At 50.9% G+C, this 21566-nt stretch overlaps 1 protein-coding gene across 14 annotated transcripts in view, besides 2 other annotated features; it reads right to left on the bottom strand.

The window, feature by feature from the left end:
* DYSF (dysferlin) overlaps positions 336–21566 on the bottom strand; it is a 233203-nt gene continuing 211972 nt past the window's right edge. For all 14 annotated transcript variants that reach the window (NM_001130979.2, NM_001130981.2, NM_001130980.2 and 11 more), the window contains 9 exons: positions 19584–19723; positions 18257–18345; positions 17892–17987; positions 17353–17494; positions 12803–12902; positions 7864–8042; positions 5989–6098; positions 4422–4569; positions 336–645 (listed from right to left, as the gene is read on the bottom strand). In NM_001130979.2, the coding sequence (NP_001124451.1) occupies positions 607–645; positions 4422–4569; positions 5989–6098; positions 7864–8042; positions 12803–12902; positions 17353–17494; positions 17892–17987; positions 18257–18345; positions 19584–19723 (1043 nt within the window). In that variant the 3' untranslated portion in view covers positions 336–606. The remainder of the gene's footprint in view (positions 646–4421; positions 4570–5988; positions 6099–7863; positions 8043–12802; positions 12903–17352; positions 17495–17891; positions 17988–18256; positions 18346–19583; positions 19724–21566) is intronic.
* Positions 13337–16216: an enhancer, noted in NCBI's record as "VISTA enhancer hs1479". NCBI's record gives its function as "enhancer in: limb[6/6] | tail[5/6]" and the evidence as "EXISTENCE:transgenic organism evidence [ECO:0001131][PMID:17130149]".
* Positions 14213–14712: an enhancer, noted in NCBI's record as "H3K4me1 hESC enhancer chr2:71899517-71900016 (GRCh37/hg19 assembly coordinates)". NCBI's record gives its function as "activates a minimal SCP1, AML or CMV promoter by ChIP-STARR-seq in naive H9 embryonic stem cells {active_cell/tissue: H9 hESC(naive)}" and the evidence as "EXISTENCE:reporter gene assay evidence [ECO:0000049][PMID:30033119]".

Raw genomic sequence — 21566 nt, 5'->3', positions numbered from 1 at the left:
AGGCAAAGGGCAGCCTGGGAGACGGGGGGGGTGCCCGAGTAAGGAGAAGGCAGGGGGAAAGGGGAAAGTCCTGGATTGGAGAGGAGGCAGAGGAGGCCGGGGCTAAGGCAAACCAGACACCAAGCCCCAAGCCCACCCCACCCCCAACCAGTCTTGTGAAAGAAGAAGCAGTTCCACGGGCCCCACCCACTGCTTCTCAGCTGCCTCTCCCTCCAGAAGGCTGGGCTGGAAGCAGCACCCATACCCCGTCCACCCTCCCCGCCCACCCAGGCATATCCCCCTTCACAGTCACTCCCTGTTCAGGTACTGTAGAGATACACACACTGACACTGCTGTGTGGTTCCAACTGTTTTATACTGAAATATGTCTGAGCTGATCCAAAAAAGCGTTGGGTTGGGGGAGAAGGAAATGATGGAAGTGGGGTGATCTCAGAGCTCCATGTTAGCAACTCTGGGAGTGTGGGCCGGTCCATCTGTCTGTCTGCCCACCCTGGCAGGACAATCAGGCCTAGGAGGTCTGGAGGAGCTCGCCGAGCTGGGCGGAGGAGGCAGGCCAGTCCCATGCTGGAGGGGACCCCACGGCCCCTTCTACAGGGCAGGAGAGTCCTCAGCTGAAGGGCTTCACCAGCTTCATGGCAGCATAGTTCTGGAGGGAGGGAGGAGACAGGGACCCATGGTGATCCCACTGGGGCAGGCACAGCCAGAGCAGCTGTCCCAGACCTGGGGCTCAGAGGATGGGGCTAAGCTGCCAACAGGCAAGAGGCTGGGAGAGGACGCTCGTGGCTCTTCAACCACCTGCCCACGCCTCGCCCTCACCACTTGCCATCCATACCATGTGGGGCTCAACACTCCGCCCTGCCTAGTGCTCCAGCCCATCAGGCAAACCCATACCCTCCGAAACTCCACCCGCACCCTCCCACCTGGGGGCCAAAGCTGCCCAAATTGCTCTGTCTTCTCCCCCATCAAGCCAGGCCCATTTCCAGGTTCCAGCTGACTGCCCAGAGGACTCTGAGCACCCTGGACCTGGCCTCTTCCATCAGACAGGTGCTGAAGGTGGGGCCCAGGGTCCTCCCCCACATGGCAGCCCAGGGCTTACGGGTCATCACACCCCTGTCCAGAAAGCAGAGAGAGAGTTGGGGATGGGCTGTCGTGGATGACCCACGGCACAGCCCAGCACTAGAGACAGGGCACCCTTGATTGAGCCCTGCCTGCTGCAGGATTGACAGTATCCTCCCCTCCCCACTTCTCCCCCCAAAAACCATGAAAACACATACAACACAATACAGGGCTCCTAATTGGGACAGTATGTTCCCCAGCGCCGGCTGGGGAAAGCCAACTCTGGAAACAGAGCCGGCCCTCCTTCCCCGCCAAACGCCTCCTGCCTCCCCACGCTGGCCCTGCTCCCGGCTGGCTCTGAGGGGGAAGCTGAGAGGAATCAGACAGGCTGCCCCCTCATACCCCTCCCAAGGGAATTTCCAAGAGGGTAGGGGATTAGGCCAACTGGAGGAAGCTGCCCTGTCCTTGGGCCCCTCTCCACTAGGCCCTGGCTTGGGGCAGGCAGCCTCTGTCCCATGGCCTGAAAGCCAGGTGAGGGTCACCAGGGCCCGGCCCTCATCATCTGGTACTGGCCAAATGAATGAGTGACTTGGGTGGAAGGAGGCAGGATGTGCTCAGCTTGTAGCAAAGACCTGTGAGCAAAGCCAGTCTGCAGCCTCAGGCCCAGGCCACCCCCTTCATCCCTAGACCCCTTACCTAGGATCTGACATCCCCACACCAGCCCTGGGAGAGGGGAAGCAGGGTCCATATTTTAAAGAGGACAACTTCCAGAAGAACTCAAAGGAGAGTGGCCCGCTGCTGGGGGGACAGGAGACAGGGAGGAGCTCTGACCAGGCCCCCCACAGTACCACTCTGCTTCTGCCCACAGCGATGAGGAAGGACCACAGGCTGGAAGTGACTGGAAATCTTTCCTTCCTCTCCCAGCCAGGCAGCAGGGCCTCCTTCCCCAGGCCCCTGGAGGCCTAGATCTGCTGCCCAGTAGCCTAGCAGTGCAGGGTGCAGCTGGCAGGGGCTGGGCTTAGGCATGTCATGGGTGGTGGTGATGCCACTTTGGACCTGCCTTTCCCCTCCCCTTGGCTTTTCAGAAGGAGGCTTGGCTTAATATACAGCAGCCAGGGAAGATGACAGTGCTCCCCTAAGCACAGTCCCAGCCACAGAAGGCCAGAGCTAACCTAGTGCAGCCCCTTCCTCATGTGAGCAGGAGGGATTTGCCAAGGTCACAGGAAGAGTCCATAATCCTGACTCCAGCGACAGAGCTCTGTCACATCCAACAGGGTTTCTCCAACCATCATGTGCCTACATGCAGATTCCCCCTCAGCAGGCCGGGGCCGGCCGGGGACTCTGAGTTTCTAGTGAGTTCCCTGGTGCTACTGCTGCTAGTCCTCCGACTACACCAAGGGCGAGGGTCTGCAGCAGCTCTTCTCTTCCTAAACTCCCACGGCCTGAGCCTCCCAAAAGAGCATTTGATCATCCACAGTACTTTTCCTTACTCTCTGGTTTCAATGTCTCCCCAGGGAAGTGAGCACTCCCCAGTGGCATGAGGCCTCATCCTCTTCTCCCTCATCCCCAAAACACGCCCTTACCTCCCAGACGCACACACGTGCTTAGAGTCTCTGTGGCTAACTGAACACTGGCCAGCTGGGCTCCGAATGGGAGGAGGAGCTTGAGGCAGGCTGGGAAGGGTGCCCCCTGGGCAGGAGACACCAGGCAGAAGTCCTGGGGCCTGACCCCGGATCTCAGGTCACAGCAACAGCTCATGCTGCAGGACACCACACGTGCACACACTCTTCCACAGTCCTGTATCTCAGCTTATATTTGTAATCTCGTCTCCCTTGGCTTAAAGAGGCCTCCCACATCGTACACACCTCGAGTCCCTGCAACCTAGATCTACCCTGGACCACAGTCAGATTTTGCTGATGGACAAACCTCAGAACCTCAGAAACATTTCTCCATTGCGCCTCAGGTGACCACAGCCAGCTTAGCAGGCCTGGCCTGTAGGCAGACCCTTCACCACCCTGGTTCTAGACTCTCCTTAGTCACTATGGCCCAGATGGTAGCTGGTCCGGACATCCAAACCAGACATCCTTTCCCCAGCTCCTCTCAGTTCAGCTGTTAGAACTGCATGGAAAGCTGTGTGGTTATAACTCTCTTCCTCTCTGAGATGCATTCTGCAGACATGGGCATAGCCAGCTGCAGTGGGATGGAGGGGCTCTTGCCCTTTCCTCCTCCTGGAGGACTCACAGAGCAAAGAGCTCACCTGGGGGCAGTTCCCCAAGCAGCCTGTCTGCCATGGGATCAATGCTCTGGGCCAGTGGCCTGGTGCTGACCAGGACTGAGGCCTGAAGTGGGAATCACAGTGAGCCCTGGATTGGGAGTGTGCATGGAATACTGTGCAGCCTACGGCCAGGCCCTTTCCTTCTCTGGGTGTTTGCGTCTTTGCCACCAACATAAGGTCCTCAAGGGGTGGATTACACCATTCTCTCCACTTTTATATAGGGTTGGAGTTTTCATATTAAAAAGATTTCTTTTAAATTTTAAAGAGCATTAGAAATCAGGTGTCAGCCTGAGAATGCTGCAACCCCTTCAAGGTCTAAAGTATCAGAGACACTGGGGGAGGCTCCCTGGTGATCCGGGTTCCCTGATGAGCTGTGCGGGCTGGGGAAGCACAGGCAGGGACCTTCCTCCCCCAGGCAGGGCCCCACAGAGCAAGGGCACGACAGCCACCTCTGGTATGGCCCCACAAGCTCATCAATTGGCTTCTTACCAAGTGAAAGGAAACCCAAATGGGCACCGAGCCAAGTAAGGGCTCCTGGGCCAGCCTCCCGCTCCCCGACAGCTTCCCTATGCCCACCTGCTGCAGGAGGCAGGACACACTCTATTGAGTGCCTCAGGTGGACCCTGAGATGCTCTCCCAGCCCCAGCTCCTCCCTTCCTCTGGATTTGCAACTGCTGTTAAGACAAAGGGACCTTCTCTGCTCTGCCATCAACATCTCACCTTCCTTTCAGACCCAGTTCCACACCTCCCTTCCAGAAAGTCCCCCTGCCCACCGCAACCCAAAGGGCCTCATCTTCTCCTAACCCCTTCATTACAAATTCTAGGGGCTTGCTGAGGACAGCTTTGTCTCACCATGAAGGGCAAGAACTCAGTTTCTCTCACTGGACTAAGAGCCTCCAAGGGTAGAACTTTGTACACCTACCAGATTGGAGACTCCCCAGAGCTGGGCTCTGTATCCTCATCAGACCAGGGGCTCTCCAAGGACAGAGGTTACTTCTCTCCATTAGACTGGGAGAGCTCTTTGAGGACAATGATGAACTCCCCCATTAGACCCAGAGTTCCCCCACCACAGTGTCGTCAGGCCTGCTCACCGGGAAGGCGTAGATGAAGATGGCCAGGAACAGCAGCAGGATGAAGAGGATGATGAAGAGGATGATGGCCCACCGGAAACGCCGCCACAGGATGAACTTCATGGTCTTGTATGGGGAGGTAAACCACAGGAAGGAGGTGTCGGGGCGCCTGGAAGCGAGATCCCGGAGGTCAACTGGGCATCCTTTACTAGGGCTGCTTTCTCCAAACTCTTCTCTCAACAGCAGGTCCAATGGCCTGGCCCTCCACAGTCCACCCCCAGCGCCTGCCCAGGCCCTGTCCCTAAACTAGCCCTTTGCACCTTGCATTCCCTCTCCCCCAAGCCCTTGCTACAGTATCACCCCCACCTGTGCTGCCCTCCTCTTCTGGGTGCTGCCAAGCCCTAAGCATCCTCAGTGGCCCAGTTTCTCTGCCATCCTCTCCAGGACACCTTCCTTGGTGCCCTCACCCATTCCTGACCCAGGACTTAATCACAAACTGCAGATTTAGGAGCTGGGCAGTGCTTCAAAGTGCTCTCCAGCCCACCGAGCCCCAGATAAGCCAAGACACCTGCCCAGATGCACATGGCTAGTCCATGCTCAGGGAACAACGGTGGGAAGAGAACATAGGAAGCTGGTTCTCTCACAACCAAGAATCTCAAAACCTTTCCCTAGGCCAGCTCCACATCTCAAAATACGTGGAGGATTCTGGGTCTCCATCATGGCCCCGTTAACATCAGATTGCACACTGGTGTCTCACGGGTCTCTCTTTTCTTCCTGTGCAGATCCCAGCATCCTTAGGCAAGGGTGCCTCTCACTGCTCTGCCAGCCCCATGGCACTCAGGCACACGGTGCTAATCACAGCATGGTGACTAACTGAGCCATCTATGCTAAATCCAACTTGAGCCAAGTAGGCTGGTGGGGCGGGATCCAGCAAACACATTCCTGAGCCCCCACAGCCATCTTTCAGTGACTCTGCCCCTGTAACTGCCTTCACAGCATCTACATCCATTGGCTTGGTCTATCTCCCCAAGAGGTCTGTGATGTAGGGAAGACAGGGATTGGGCTCCCCATTTCACAGATGGAAAAATGAAGGCTGAAAAACCATTTGAAAGTCACACTGGCACCATAGGAGAGCCACCGAAGGCAGCTTGGTAGGGTCAAGACCTTGATCGGGCTCTGGAGCCAATCAGACCAGGTGAGAGCATTTCTGCTTCACCACTGTCCTAGCTGGAATGCCCTTATTTAACTTTGCTGAGATTGTTCCTCATCTGTAAAATGGGGATAATAACAACTACCCTGCAGGGAAGGTTCCATAGCACAATGTACACATGCATAGGATAGCATGCTTGGCACACAACCAACAGGTACCCAATAGCACCTGCATCTTGAATTCGCTGAGCCCAGTGTTCTCTGGACAGATGCCCATCACCTTCCCCCTAACTTACTGTGTGGCCTTGGATGAGTCGTGCCCCTCTCTGAGCCACGTGGGCTTTGTGACTTCTACATGGCCATGCAATGGGATGCCTCCTGGACTGTGGCCTATACCCCCAGACCTGTGGGCATTGGGGCTCAGGGGCTGGGCACTGACCTTGGGTCCTCAAGCTTAGGGTTCATGTTGGGCTCATCCCGGCCCTGGCCAGCAGGCCGCTCCTCATGCTCACTCTCTGCTACAATCTCCAAGGTCATTTCCAGCTTGCCCTGAGGGGACAGAGAGCACTTGGTTAGGGGCACGAAGGCTCTGCTCAGTGGCCTGGAGAGTAACCAGGCCAGAAAAAACATAAGGGCCACTTCATTATTTAAAAAAAAAGATGTAGGGTTTCTGAACATAAAAGCAGCACCTGCTCTTTGTAAAACATTTGGAAACTTCAGAAATGTATAAAGAAGGGAGACTGCCACCCCTACTTCCACTACATGGAGACAAGCACTGTTAACATTTGCATGCATCATAGCTGATTTTCTCTGCAAGCTTATGAAATGTCACACTGTGCATATACAGTTCCATAGATGGCTTTTTTCACTTCGGAATATATTTCACTATGTAGTTGTCTATTCTTTAAAGTTCGGTTTTTAATGACTGCCAAACATTGTATGGGATGGTTGACCATAATTATTTAGTAAACTACTTATTTTGGTTCATTTAGGTTGTTTCCAACTCTTTGATAGGGTAAATAATGCTGCAACAAATATCCCAGAACCTAGACTTTTAAAATTTATTGGGTTATTTATTTAGAAGGATTTTAGAAGTCGGATGACAGAGTCCGAGGGCATAAATATTGTTAAATCTGTTACTATATGTTATCAAATTTCTTCCTCCACACAGTAAAACCATTAGTGCTCCCAGCAGAAGTAAAAGGGGGGCCTGTCTTCTCTCTGCATGCTCAGCAGCAATGAGCATTTCTGTTTTAAAAATATATATAATTTAACAGACAAAAAAAACACATTTAAAAATACAGTAGTCCTCCCTTATCTTTGGGTTTGATTTCTAGGGTTTCAGCTACCCGTGGGCAGTACAGTAAGATATTTTGACACACAGAGAGAAAGACCACATTCACCTAACTTTTATAACAATATATTGTTATAATTGTTCTATTATTAGTTATTGTTGTTAATCTCTTACTGTGCCTCATTTAGAAATTAAACTTTCTCATAGATATGTATAGATGGGAATAAACACAGTACATAATACGGGTTTAGTACTATCTGTAGTTTCAGGCATCCCCTGGGGGTCTTGGAACATATCTCCTCCAGATAAGGGGGGGACTACTGTATCCCTTTATTTAATTACTGGAGAGACTAAACCTTTTTAAAAATGCTTTGCAGACATTGGTAATTATTTTGTGAATTAGCTATGCATGTCGTTTTCTCATTTTTCCTTTGGGGTACTAGTATTTCTTATTGTTACCACTCTTTATATAACAAGTATATTCAATTTCAAGGACCACTTTCAGGGTTGGCTGGCTGCCTGAAATTTCTAAGTAAACTTTCAGGGATTAACTTCCTCTCCATGGCTGCTGTGGACTCAGGGGAAGGACGGTTCTCTCGGGCCCTCCAGTCACCCCTCTAAGCAGACCTCTCAGAGAGCAGAATAAGGATGGTCCCTTGGAGGGTCCTGCTCAAATGGGAGAGGCATGACCCCCGCCCATTCACCCAGGAAGTCCAGATCAGAGGGAACCCAGGACACAGGTCACTATTAAAGCCAATGAGTAGAGTATAAACAGAGTAATCTTTTGGTTTAAATAGGCTTCCCCTGGGATGTGAGCCGCAAAGGAGAAGGCGACCGGGAATTGGGAGGAAAGAGGGAGAATGCCTTGGAAAATAGAGAGAGAGGGGGGATGGGGGCAGGAGAGGGGGAGAAAGGAGGAGGAACAGTAAGCATGTATTTTCTGATGACGTATTTTCTGACAATTTCTATGGAAGAAGCTTCCCCCATGCCCTCCACTGGGGCTGGAGGAAGTAGACTTACCGCCAGTATTTTCTTCTCACCCTCTTCTGCTACACAGGGCCACCAGCCCTTCACTGTTTTCTGCTCAAAAAGGGACACAAACCATTCTGGGTGGAAAGCATCATCCAGCTGGTCCAAGGAGCACTTCTTGGCTGTCTTGGCTGGCTTGGGCATGCGGTTGAGATCGAGCTGCAGGGAGCCTGCAACAGAGAGGTAGTTTTTGGCCAAGGGTTTCTCGATCACTGCCAGCCTGTAGCCACCCTTAGGCAGGGCAGGTTCAGGAAAAACTCAGTCACCTCTGTCACCAGCTTCTATCCATGGCCGAGCCACAGGTAAAATCTCACGAACTCTCCACCTCCCTACCCATTGTCTCCCATTCCATCTATACAGCTTCCCATTCATCTACTCATGCGTTCATATGCATGTTCATCCACTCCTATTTACTCACCCTTAACAAAGCCACCCACCTCTTCAATTACTCATCTATGTACAAATCCATTCATACACCGTCTATAAACAGCCATACATCAATTTTTTTTTAATTATTTTTATCATGGTAAAATACATATAACATGAAATTTGTTATTTTAACCATGTTAAGTGTACAATTCAGTGGCTTTAATTACAGCCACAATGCTGTACAACCATCACTACTATTTCTAAAACTTTTCCATCCCCCAAACAAAAACTCTGCACCCATTAAGCAATAACTCCCCATTCCTCCCTCCCCTTCGCCCCAGTAACCTCTAGTCTACTTTCTGTCTCTATGAATTTGTCTATTCTAGATATTTCATATAAGTGGAATCATACAATATTTGTTCTTTTGTGTCTGGCTTATTTTGATTTCCATAATGTTTTCAGGGTTCATCCTTGTTGTATATATCAGTAGTGTTTTTTTAATCTGTATTTTTTTTATGGTTGAGTAAGATTCCATTCTAGGCATATACGGGTTGAACATGCATAATCTGAAAATCTGAAATTTGAAATGCTCCAAAGTCTGAAAGTTTCTGATTGCCAACATAATGCTACAAGTGGAAAACTCCACACATACGTACTTAAACTTTGTTTCATGCATAAAATTATCTTAAATATTCTATAAAATTCCCTTCAGGCTATGCTTACAAAGTATATATGAAAAAAATTTTGTATTTAGATTTGGGTCCTATCCCAAAGATATCTTATTAAGTATATGCAATTATTCCAAAATCCAAAAAGCATCAGAAATCTGAAACACTTCTGTTCCAAGCATTTCAGATAAGTTATATTTAACCTGTACCACACTTTGTTCATTCATTCATCTGTTGATGGACACTTGAGGTGTTCCCATCTTTTAACTTCATATTATGAATAATGTTGCAGTGAACGTTAGCACACAAATGTCTGAGTCCCTGTTTTCAATTCTTTGGGGTACACACACACCTGGAGTAGGATTCTTTGTTCATTAGCAATTCTATGATCAGCTTTTCAAGGAACTGCCAAACAGTTTTCCACAGCAGCCGAATCATTTTACACTCAAACCACCAATGTCCCAGCACACCAGCAATTTCTCCACATCCTCAAAACACTTGCTATATTCTGGTTTATTATTATTACTATTATCTTAGTAGGTGTGAAGTGGTACCTCACTGTGGTTCATCCAACAGTCTTTTTCATCTACCACCTAGTTATCCAAGCAGCCATCTTTTTTTATTGTTTTATCTAATCATCCCTTTTATCTATCATCTCCCAGGATACCTTCAGCTATTAGGTTGAACCATATGAAAATTCTTGTATTTAACTATCTTTGACCCATTTAAACAGCAATTTCATGTGGTTTCGCCTAATCTAATCATAATCTGATAAAGTCAATGGGATTGGAGCATAGGTTGCCAAAGGGATTAAGAGAGATCAATAGAAAAATTATTTTCTGAAGCCAAATTAAAGAAATTCTCAAACACCATGCAAAGGTGTTTCAATTTTTTTCAGTGTAGAATGCATAGTTACTATAACCGAACATTAAATATAACTCTTTTTCTAGTTTTCTTTCTTTCCACTCATCCATTTATCAATCCGTCCTTCCATCTGTGCGTCTGCTTTGACCTAACTATCCACATTCCTCTATAGCTACCATTTGTTAAGCACTATATCTATCCATTAATCAGGTTATTATTCCACCTGTCTGTCCACTTATTCAACTGTATATCGGCATTCATCTATGCTCCACCCACCCATATATTTCTCCATCCCTCCAGTGCAGATGAATGAATGTTTATTTTCTATTTGAAATATGGTGCCAATATATTAAGCAAATGTCAGAATATTAAACCACACACACACACACACACACATACACACACATTATCTCAGCATGATCTACATAAAAGACTGTAAGGAAACACAGGCTATCTGGATGGTGAGCTTATAGGTGCTTAACCATTACCTTTAAAATTAAAAAGTAATAAATATTCAAAAGACACAAGTTATGTAATTAGAAAACAAATTATGAAGGTGGAAAAGAAAAATTTCATGGATATAAAAGCTAGTATTCGTTAATGGTTTTATTTTTTAAAACAAAGGATGAGTCTGTTTAACTTTACTTTGAACATGATTTACTCAGTCAGTAAAAAACACAGGGTTTTTTTTTTGTTTTTCTTTTAAAAACTAATTTTCTAAAGCCTCACTTCATAAAGGAAAGATTGATGCCATAAATTCACAAAGTCTGTAAGAAAAAAAGTCTCCATAAAAATTTTAAAGCATAAGAAAAATTGGGAGAAATTATTTGCAATGTATTCTTAATACATAAAAGGCTCTGAAAATCAATAATAAAAGATGAATATTGCAAAACCATGAAGAAAATTCCACAATACGGATAATAAATATATTTTAAAGTTCTACCTTAAATGCAATAAAAAATGCAAATAAAAAGGAAATATCTTATTGGCAATTTTTTTTTAATGTACAGTGGTAGCAAAAGTTTAGGGAAAATGGCACCCTGTACAAACAGGGCACAGGTGGGAGTATAAACAAGTAAAACCTTTCTAGAGGGCAACTGAACAAAATGTTTCAAAAGCCATTAAAATGTACAAAGACATATCTACTTCTCAGAGTTAAGGAAAGATATGCACAAAGGATCGAAGGATGTGCATATGCCGAGGGTGTTACTCACATTGGGAAACCTGGAGATGACCTGAATACCCACCAGGAGAGGATTAATCAAAACAGGGCCCACGTCTATGACAAAACATAGGCAGGCATTAAGTGTGATGATGGAGATATAAATGCAGATCGATACCTACTGACCAGAAAGGATGTTCTTGGAATATTAGGTTTTTCAAAAATCAGGATATAAAACAGTCTGTGTAATAGAAATCCATTCATATACATATGAATATATGTATATATTATATATGTATGCATGTACATGTGTATATATAAATACATATATAAAATACTTATGTTTGTTTAAGTCTCAAATAATATATAATACAATAATACATGCCAAAATGTTAGTAGAAATTGGGTGGTGAGATTAAGGTGGGGAGGAAGCATTGCTTACCTGCATTTTCTAATTCCTTACCTGCATTTTCTAATTCCTCTACAGGAATTATGTACAAAATAATAAGTAAAATAATAGAAGTCAAACTTGGTGCCACGCTTTTTGCACCTGATGCTTTTATAACAAAGTTCTCTGGGCATTTGGCCAGGCCAGGTGCGCAGGGCGGGGGAACAGTCAAGTGAACAGGCAGCCTTCTCCCCACTGCCGGAAGCCGCGCCTCAGAATATCCCCTGCAGGGGCCCCAGGGCTCAGCTAAGAACGACTCACCTTCTCCAGTCAAGGGCTACCCCAAGAGGGCTCCAGGCCACCCTGCTCCCAAGTGGCAGAATGGATCTAGAAACCAGGGATCCTGACTTCCTGGGTTGCCGTTTTCACAAGCTCGCTTTATTTTTTAATCAAGGTAAAATCCACCTCACATAAATGCACCACTTTAACCACTTTAAGTGTACAAATCAGTGCCTTTGAGTATATTCACAGAGTTGTGCAACCTTCACCACCATCTAATTCCAGAACCTTTCCATCACCGCAAAAAGAAACCTCTTACCCATCACAGTCACTCCCCATCCCCCCTCCCCCAATCCCTAGCAACCACTAACCTATTTTCCGTCTCTATGGATTTGCCTATTATGGACATTTCATATACATGAAGCCATATAATATTTGACCTTTTGTGTCTGGCTGCTTTCACCTGGCATGTTTTCAGGTTCACCTACAGTGTAGTATGTATCAGTATTTCATTGCTTTCATGGCTGAATACTCTCCCATTGTATGGATAGACCACATTTTCCAGAGTTAACCTTTATAGCCATGACAGGGCTATCTTGAACTCACTGCTCTCACAGATGAGCGTGCAGGCCCCATACAATGTCTTCCTCCTTGTCCCCATATCCTAACCCTACAAGGCCACCATCACCACCTTCCATTCAACCCAGCCTCCCTGCTCCCCAGTCCCAGATTTCATCACAGCCCTTCCCACTAGAACCCTGTCTGGGGGTAATGGGGATAGAGCCTGGGTTTGTTCACTCAGTCGGTCACACAGGCACAAGGATGAAGACTGACTTGAGACCCTCACTCACAGGGCTCAGTCTGTGTCAAATGTGAGGCCAGACAGCTGGCGACAGGCAGCACACACTTGCGTCCCTCGCTTACTTACATATCTGAGTCCCATCATCCAACATGGCCCAGTGTTCAGTGCCACCTCTACTGACAGGCCCACCCTCAGTGGCCACCAATCACTCTGACACTGCTGTGTGTCATACACCTCACTTAACACTGGGGACACATGACCCTGAGCTCCCTGAAAGCAGAAAGTGGGATCACTCCTCCTGCTAGGCTTCCCCAAGGGTCCAACAGTGGCATAAACACACAGTGTGGGTTCTGGGGCAGCCCCCATGTGCAGAATGGGATTCTAGCAATAGCGCTTACCCAGAAAATCATCAAAGGAGAACTTGTCATTGTCCCAGATCTGGAACACCACTCGTGCTGGGATTTTGCTCTCAGTCTTGTCCAGCCTCCAGAAGGCATCCTGACCCGGAAGAGGAACAGAGAAGGATGCAAGGAAGCAAGGTTAGAGAGAGGCAGTGTTCCCTTCCAGCCTGGAAGGCTGCCTGGAGGAGGCAGAGGAGTAGGATGTCCCCAAGGGACCTGCCAGAGCCAGGTCCTGTGGGAAGACTGGGAAGGACAGATCCCAGAAGGCAGTGTTCAAGGGCCCAAAAGGGCACCGTGCAGGCTCAGTTCACATAAGATGGCTCCATTAATCCTCCCAACTCTGTAAGTCAAGGTTATCACTCCCATTTTACAGATGATGAAGGTGAGGCTTGGAGAAGTTAAAGGAATGTGCCTGAGGTCTGACCACTAATAATAATAACATTAATATAGTGCTTCCTATGCGTTGGCCCTCTACTGCTATGAACTCATTTATCCTTCCAACCACCTGTAAAGGAGATACTATCTTTACAGTGGAGGAGACCAAAGCAAGTAATTTGTCCAAGACCACATAGCTAGGAAGTGGCAAGCTGGACTCAAACCCTGGCAGCTGGGTTCCAGAGTCCTGCTCTCTACCTTAAACCTTGCTCTGTACCTGGCATCTCAGGGTCAGGGTGGGGTAACTGAGACCCTGAGGGACCCCACCCTACCCTGGCTGTCATAGAAGGATCTCCCAGCACGCTGCTGTAAGGAGCTGGCACTGGAATCTAGACCCCAGCTCCTCCCTCTCCACCCCACCCAACTTCACTCCAAGAGCTTGACCCAGGGCAAAGCCAAAGCCTGAAGTGCTGGGAAGTTCCGTCTCCTGCTGAAAGGAGAGGAGGGGCCCTTCTCTCCCCACCCCACCTCCCTCAGACCAGCTCGCCTGGAACAAGGTCATCTTGGGCTTCCTCCCACTGAGGCTTCATGGAGCAACTGAGCGGTGTGGGACTGCACATGCGGAGGCCGGGGAGCACCCCTCAGTCCAGCCACACTCAACCCACAGCACTGTCACTAGGGCTTTCCAGCGCAGTCTTGTTCTCTGTTTTCTCACTATAACTCTCCCCTGGGTGAGTGGCAAGGACAGGAAACAGTGTGACCACCCTGCAGATGGTGGGTGCCAAGTCCTGAGTGCCGGGTCAGAGCAAGGGCCTGGACCCAACTCTGCAGGGGAAAAGCTCCACCAAATGCCTGGTAAACCCACCCTTGCTGTCCAGCCAGGGCCTGCTGTGTGGCCACCCCAGCCTCAGAGGTTGGCCACGGAAATCCCAGTGAGCTCCCGAACCGAAGACCATGACCCCTGCCCCGTGAGGACTAGTCCCCGTGCAAAGCACCCAGCCACGGCCTGGACTGCTGCCTGGGTTGGGGAAGGGGCTCAGGTCTCCAGCTGGCCCCTCACCTCCAGCCCTCTGTCTGGTGCCTCCCCCCTTTTCCGGGCCCCAGCCCTTCTGCAGGTGCCTCCCTCCTCTGGCGAGCTTTTATGGCCAGCTCCGCAGGCCCGCCTGCATGGCCCGCCAGCAGCCTCCATTCCTCTGGCCAGCTTGGTTTATGGGCTCGGTAATGAGCCAGAGGTTCAAACGGCCCCTGGTGGGAGCAGCTGGGCTGGGGCTCCAGCCTGGGGAATGAACCCCCCCAGGTCCCAGGCGCTCATTATGCTCCTGGCCTGGGCGCTTTTACTAGCTGTTTATTTGCAGGGTGGGTGCCTGACGTGCAGGGTGTGCTGGGCTCCAGGTGGGGAGCCTGGCCGGGGCAACCAGTGGTGGTTCAAAGCCGCCGGATGAAAGGAGACCTTGTACTTTACGACAGTCTCGTCTGGTTAATGGGGTCCCTGGAGGGCCTGCCTGCCAGAGGCCCTGAACCCCACGGCAGAGGGCTGGCTCCGTGGCAGGCCCAGGGAGCCCAGAGGCTGTGCAGTGCCCCTGCACGAACCCATCCAGACTCGATCCTTCAGCCCAACCCAGCTAACTGGTGCCCCACTGTGGCCACTGCTCTGCCTGCCTCCCAGGGTCCCTTCACTCCAAGAGGGACCCTCTGGCTCTGCCTTCGGCCAAGCCAGTTTCTGTCTCCGCCTTCGGCCGAGCCAGTTTCTGTCTCCCACCTCTGGTTGACTTCAGAGCCACGTGGCCTCTGTTTCTGTTTCTCAGCCTCCTCTTCTGACCTTCTCCGCCCCTCCTTCCAGCCACCTTCTCCCCAGAGTCTGGCATCACGGAGAACGTCCCTTCCCCTCTGGCCTTCCCTCCCAGTGAGCCTCTCCTTCCACTCTCTGACCTCTCTTCCTCCTCGCCACCCCTGCTCCCCTGTGGGCTTCTCATTCTCCCAAGTCTGACCAAGACCCTCTTGGCCATCAGGCAGTCCCTTCCATATCCTCGACCCCTGTCTTCCTCTGGAACTCGCCCACGGGTTGGCCCCACTCTCCCCTTCTTCCTTCCTCCTGACCAGGCCCTATGATGCAGAGACAAAACCACAACATTGCCAGAATGGAGCCACCCCAAATTCTTAATCAGCAACCACAACTGGGTCCCCAGAACTGCCGGGTAACCCTCTCTGTGCTGCCAGTCACATTCCCTCCCCATCTCTCTGTGTCCCTCCCTCACTGTCACTCATAGCAGCTCTTTCCAGCCTTTTCCACTGGTCTCAAGTCACCTGCCCCAGTACCAGATCATCTCTCCTCTTACTTCAGAGACAAAACAGCCACTCCTAATCCACATCTCCACCTGTCATGAGGAAGGGGCTGTCCCACCTCCCATTCCTCTCGGTCTCAGTCTCCAGCCCTTGTAGGTGAGCCCTGGGGGTGCCACGGGGGGCGCAGCCCTCCCTCTCCACTCCCAGGCCCCCTCTCCCTCTGTCTGCAGCAGAGCTGGCTGGGGCAGTGCTGTGTCTTGGGGCAGATGCAACCTTGGCTTTCTGATGGAAACAGGCTCATGTCAGGGAAGCACACTGAACAGCAGCAAATGAGGCTCAACCTGCAAACGGCCCATGCTTTCCTTGACCTCCCAGAACCCTGTTGCTCAATTCTGCTTTCTGCCAGTCACTCCACAGCAATGGCTCGGTAAAGGGATCCACTTAACCCTGTTGAATCCATGTTTTCTTTTGTTTCATGGTTTCAGAATGTTCCGCGGAACATTTTGCTTTCTCTAATGTGCAGATGATCCTGCATGTTAGGCTGGGAAGGGCCATGCAGAGGGGATGTAATGAAGAGAATCAAGAAAATGCAGGCACTGGAACGCGTCATATATCCCCTTCCTTTCAGGAGACAAGGAGTCATAGGAGCTTTGAGGCTTAAAGCCTTGAGCCACCTCTGGAAGGAAATCGGGCCAGCAGAATCTAGATGCCAGAGAGGCATTTACCCCCTTGAGTTGGAGAGCACCTCAGGGTGGAATTTAATGCCGGGTGGGACAAGGATGGCCAGAAGCTACAGCAGAGACCCCTCTGCCTCCAACCAGCATAGCCCTGAAGTCTCCACTGCCCTCAGCACCCATTCTGTGCTCTGGGGGCTGCTCTCTGAGGGCAGGCCTGGTCCTACCAGGAAGAGGCTGGCTGTCCTCGAGTTCTGCCTAGTTCAGGGGTAAAAAGTTGACGCCCCAGATGAGACCTAAACTAGCAGATGCTGAGACACAGAGACCGAGGTCCCCAAATCCAGCCTCCCCTCTGGCTGATGCAAGCCAGGTCTCCCTAGGTGCCTTTGGCCTGTAGTGAGAGGTGGGAGTGGAGAGAGGAGGGTGATGGCTGTGGGCCTTGCAGGCACACTTGGACTGTGACCTAGCTTGGACGGTGACCATAGGCACAGATGTGGAAAATGGGATATGAGAAAGACTTAGCCAAGCAACTCCCAATCCTGTGGACACCATGATCTATAGGCCAGACTGGCCTTCTTGGGAAGCTCCCCCATGGGGTCTGCCCCACTGCCCTTTTGAAGGCCATGCTGGGTGTCCCTACTCTACCCACTCAGACCCCATGGTCCTTCCTGCTGCTTAACTTGTCTGAGGTAGGGAGGGAGGCAGTGACTTTGGGATCTGGATTTAGCTGCAAATGATGGATATGGCACTGTGTGATCATGAGGTGGCCATGGGGTGGCGGCAGGGCTGGGGATGGGAAAGATGGTGGAAGAGAGTGGAAAAGGGGTGGATGCAGAGATGGTGGAGGTGGCTTTGGGGGTAATGACAGCAGGGGTGGGACCACGGTAGTGCCATGAATGACAGAACAGTGGTGGTGACATTTGGCAGTGAGGAGGCAACAGTTGTGATAACACCAGTAGTGATGGAACAGCAGCCACGGTGACATTGGCTGTGATGGGACAGAGGCCATCACACAATGCTGAGACAGCAGTGGTGGTGACACTGGCAGTGCTGGGACAGTGGAGGTGGTGGCCATGTGGAGATGGCAGTGGTAGCTCCAACATGGTGGGGCAGCAGTGAGATTGTGACAGTTGCCAGGCAGGGACGTGGTGGTCAGGTCAGGCTAACTTTAGAAGCCCTGGTGCTGGCACCACAGGGAATCGGAAGGACACTGACCTTCTTGGCAATGGTACAGACTTGCTCAGCTGGCAGGTAGTCGAAGGGGAAAATGAACCTCCAGTTGAAGTTGCCTTCACCTCCCAGGGAACGATAATGCACGTCTGTCTTTTGCTTGTGTTCTTCAAAGCCAATCATCCAACTAGACATACATGTTTTTAGAGAATAGTTCTCATTAAGATTTCCAACACAGTATATACATCGTCAACTTAGGCAGACAAGGAGTTAAGAAGGTAAATGAGCTTATCGCAAAAAGAATTCCCAGGAAATCGGCACGATGTACAAAATGTGCCATAAATTTGAAAACATTCTAACTTCCCAGCCACTAAACTTGTAAGTTCAACCCAAAGTTCAGTGCAGAAAAAGAAATCTGGTGGGAGAGCGATTTCCCCAAAGGCAGGGACCACCCCCAGGAGCCCTCGTTGGAAGTTTGTTTGTTCTTCCCTTCCCTGAGCCAGAGCCCCCCGTGCTGTGCACAACCCAGAGGGAGCACGGGAGCTGCGGGAAGCTGGACAGGCAAGAGGACGCTGGCTCCCTACCCTTTCACATAAATGTCGCTCATCTTCTCCCCCGTGAGGCTCAGGTCATCCAGGATCACATCTCTGGTATTCCAGATAATACAACGCAGGAAAAACCTGGGGAAAGGTATCACTCTAATCCACCTAGATTTCCTACCAAAGGATGGGAAGGCCTTAAGAAGCCAAGAAGCCAAGAAGCAGACTGGTCCAAGAGGACTCGATGCCTGCCTGGCTGGACACTGGCCCAGGCCCAAACGAGAACTGTATTCCATGGCCCAAATAGCCTGAAGCCCGGCAGAAAAGAGCAACCGCCTAGTCCCGCCCACAGCAGGCTGCAACGCCCCCACCCCTCAGCCCAGCTCAGAGCCTGTGGCTGGGCAAGTCACCTTCTGGCTCTCCGTGGGGTGATGTTGAAGGGAGGTCCAGGCCGCCCCAGGGCCTTCGGAAATAGGTCGACCCACATCTGCAGCTTCCCCTGCGGAGACAGGGTCCGTTCTCTCCCCACCCTTCTCATTTAACCAGCTGTTACCAAGCACCTGCTCTGGGCCAGATGCTGAGGGCACAGAACAGAGAAACCCAGGCCCTTCCAGAGAAAGCCTCACTGCCCTAAACAGGGGACTACAGGGTCAACCGCAGAGGTGACCACTGCCCCACAGGCCTCTGACTTGGGCCTGTGCCTGGGGGTCAAGGGTCAGGGTGGGCTTCTCAGAGATGGTGGTGGCTGAGCTGAGTCTTGGCAGCCAGGGGAATGGCATGTGCACAGTCGTGGCGTGTCAAAGAGCACCGTTCAGTTATGGAGGGCTCAGAAGGCTTCCATGGCAGGACATCACTCTCCCTGCCCACCCCTTATCCTCCTCCCTCTCTGCAAGCGAGGTGTGAATTTGTCTCATCTTAGAGCAGAAGGAGCAGGAATTGAAGTAATTCAATTAAGTCACTTCTGCAGGGTCACAGAACTAGAAGATGAAAGAGCTGAAGTTTCCACACCTGTTGTGCCACTTTGGGGAGGCCGGTAGCCAAACCACCTAGGTGGAGAGAGAGCTCAGTTCCAAACAACAGAGGTAATGTCCTCTGGCATTCACAAAGGCATCCTCATGGCTCACTTTGGCCTTTCTCTTTGCCTATAACCTTGTCTCCCCTTCTCCTCTTCCAAAACCCAGCTCTGAGCTCACCTCTTCCAGGAAGCCCTCCCTGTCACCATCCCAAGGCTGCTGTCTCTGTGGTCCCCGCCCTTCAGCGTGGGAGGATTCCCCTCCCACTGAGGACTGCTCTCTGTGGGTGGCTTTGTCATTTGGTCATAGGATGCCAGGGCCACCCTGGCTGCATACCCCACAGCCACCCAGCACAGGGCCGGGCATCTGAGACTGAGTCACTGACAGATAGTGGTTGGATGGGGGAATCCAACCTGAAGTCAGGCTGAAACAGAGAGGCTTCAGGATGACAAGGAGAGGTCGGAGGCCAGGCCTACAGGGGTGAGGGGAGAAGCTCAGCCTCGTTTCGCAGGCCCTGAGGGATGGAGGCAGCCAGAGGAAGCCAGGACCTAAAGATCCCCTCCCAGGCCAACCATGGCCGCACTCAGACTGTGAAGAAATGGGTCAAGGAAGGATTGACCAAATCTCAAGGGACCCACTGGCTCCTCTGGGATATCCATGTTGTCCCTGGGGTTGGGGCTTTCTGGAGTTCGAGGACTCTGGGACCCAAGGGTCAAGGTCCTACCTGCTCGATGTCTGGCTGCAGGGGGCTGTAGAGGGGCCGTGACTCCACGTGCTCCGGGACCAGGCCCTGCTGCTGAAGCACATGCAGAGCCAGACGCTCCTCCACTGGGCCCAGGTGTGGGTTTGGGATCCTGCCAGCCTCTGCCCCAGAGAGAAGACAAAAAAGTTGCAGGAGCTGGGGAAGCGAGAGATAATGGGGCTGCCCAGTGAACAGGCTGAGCAGGGCTGCCTAAGAGTCATAAGAAGCTCTAACCCCCGCAGCCTCACCCCCAGCACAGATGCACTTTTTCTGGTCCTCATGTCTCACTTTTGATAGGGGAAATCTTGCTGTCCACTAGCTCCAGGCTTAAAATCCAGATTCCCCATTGCCATCATTTCTACCAAGCCTGTTCTATAGTTTTTATTCCTATTTTCCACCATACAAATCCTCCTGTCTCCAAAGCCTACTTCTTCCAGGAAGCTCTCCCTGACTGCTCCCAACTCTAAGCCTCAGCAACCTTTACTCCTAGATTTGGCATCTTAGTGCTGTTAGTATTATGCTCTCGTTCACTTAAGTTGTTCTACTATTAGCAGTAGCTAAAATAATAGCAATAACAGCAAACACTTCCAGAGCAGGAACCACGTGCCACACACTGTTCTTCAAGCTATTAACATATTTAGTCTTCATGAGGATCCTAGAAGCTGAGTGCTGTTATTATCCCCATTTTATAGAAGAGAAATCTGAGGCACAGAGAAGCCACACAACTAGCAGCAGAGCAGCTGAGATCACATGCTCACTTAGGAAAGGTGCGTGACTAGGCATGAACCTAGGTGCCTGTCCCCAGGTGCGTCCCAGGTACAGCTCCTCCCTGCTAGGGAATGGGTCAAAAACTGGTGCTACAGGTGGGGAGAAGACATGGGGTATTCCTGACCCAGAGAAGCCTGGCCAACCATCCAACAACATGAACTTGGAGCCCACTATGTCAAAGGCCTTGGCTTTGGGAGCTGATGGTGGACACACACATCTGTACATGTACCCAGGTGTGCTCATGCACACCTATATGTACACACACATGTGTTCACCCATCAGACCTGCCCTGCCCATTTCAGTAGGGGCCTCAAAGGAAGAGGCATGCACCTCAGAAGGCACACAGGGCCAGGAACCTGGCTCTGCCCCTAGCTGGTTGGGTGACGTTGGGCAGGTCGTTCACCACTCTTGGTCTTACCAGCCTCATCTGTAAAAGCAGGCAGATGTTGGACCTCACCATCTCTAGCTTTCTGGCTTTTGTTTCCTATGACTTTATGACCATGAGCCATGGCCCTGTGCTAAAGTTGCTCACAGACTAGTAGAAGGAAATGAGACTCCCCCGAAAACAGATGCTCATTCTATGGGAAAAGGGAATGAAGGGGGGCAGGGCTGGGGGCGCCTTATGGCCGAGCCTGGCTCAGCCATGACCTGGGAGAGTCAGGAAAACAGAATGAGAAGGAGGAGGGGGTGGGGGATGGGGGCATCAAAGCCATCATTTCCCTTTTATAACCTTGGCACCAGCTCTGACATCAAACATCTCTGAAGCAACCAGGAGGCAAGGGGCCAGCTGGGCCTGTAAACACCTCTGGGGAGTCTGAGCTGCTCTGAGTGGGTGATGCAGGCCTGCGGGCATCTCAGACACACGGAGAGCATGTGGCGGGATTCTCAGCCAGGAGAGCTGGGCAGGACCCTGGGCAGGACTGGGGGCACTACAAGGCCTGCCTGCCTTGGGATCCTTTAGATGCATGGGCTGTCAGTGGGGAGCTTGGAAGATACCATCAGGGTCAAGCTGCCAGGCTGGTGCAATTCAAGTAGAAAACTGTTTCTGAGAAGTGGACTGTACCCCAAACTCCAACCAGAGTCAGACCAGCCAATGCCAGAAAGAGACTGAGCCTAACTCTGACCCTGACACTGGCTTCAGACTCACCTCTGATCTTGCCCTCGGATGGGCCCCAACCTGGCCTTGGACTGCACTCT

This window comes from Homo sapiens, chromosome 2, assembly GCF_000001405.40.
Source record: "Homo sapiens chromosome 2, GRCh38.p14 Primary Assembly".
Classification (NCBI taxonomy): domain Eukaryota; kingdom Metazoa; phylum Chordata; class Mammalia; order Primates; family Hominidae; genus Homo; species Homo sapiens.
Note: the sequence above shows the minus strand (reverse complement) of the source record. Positions and strands in the feature narration are given on the sequence as shown.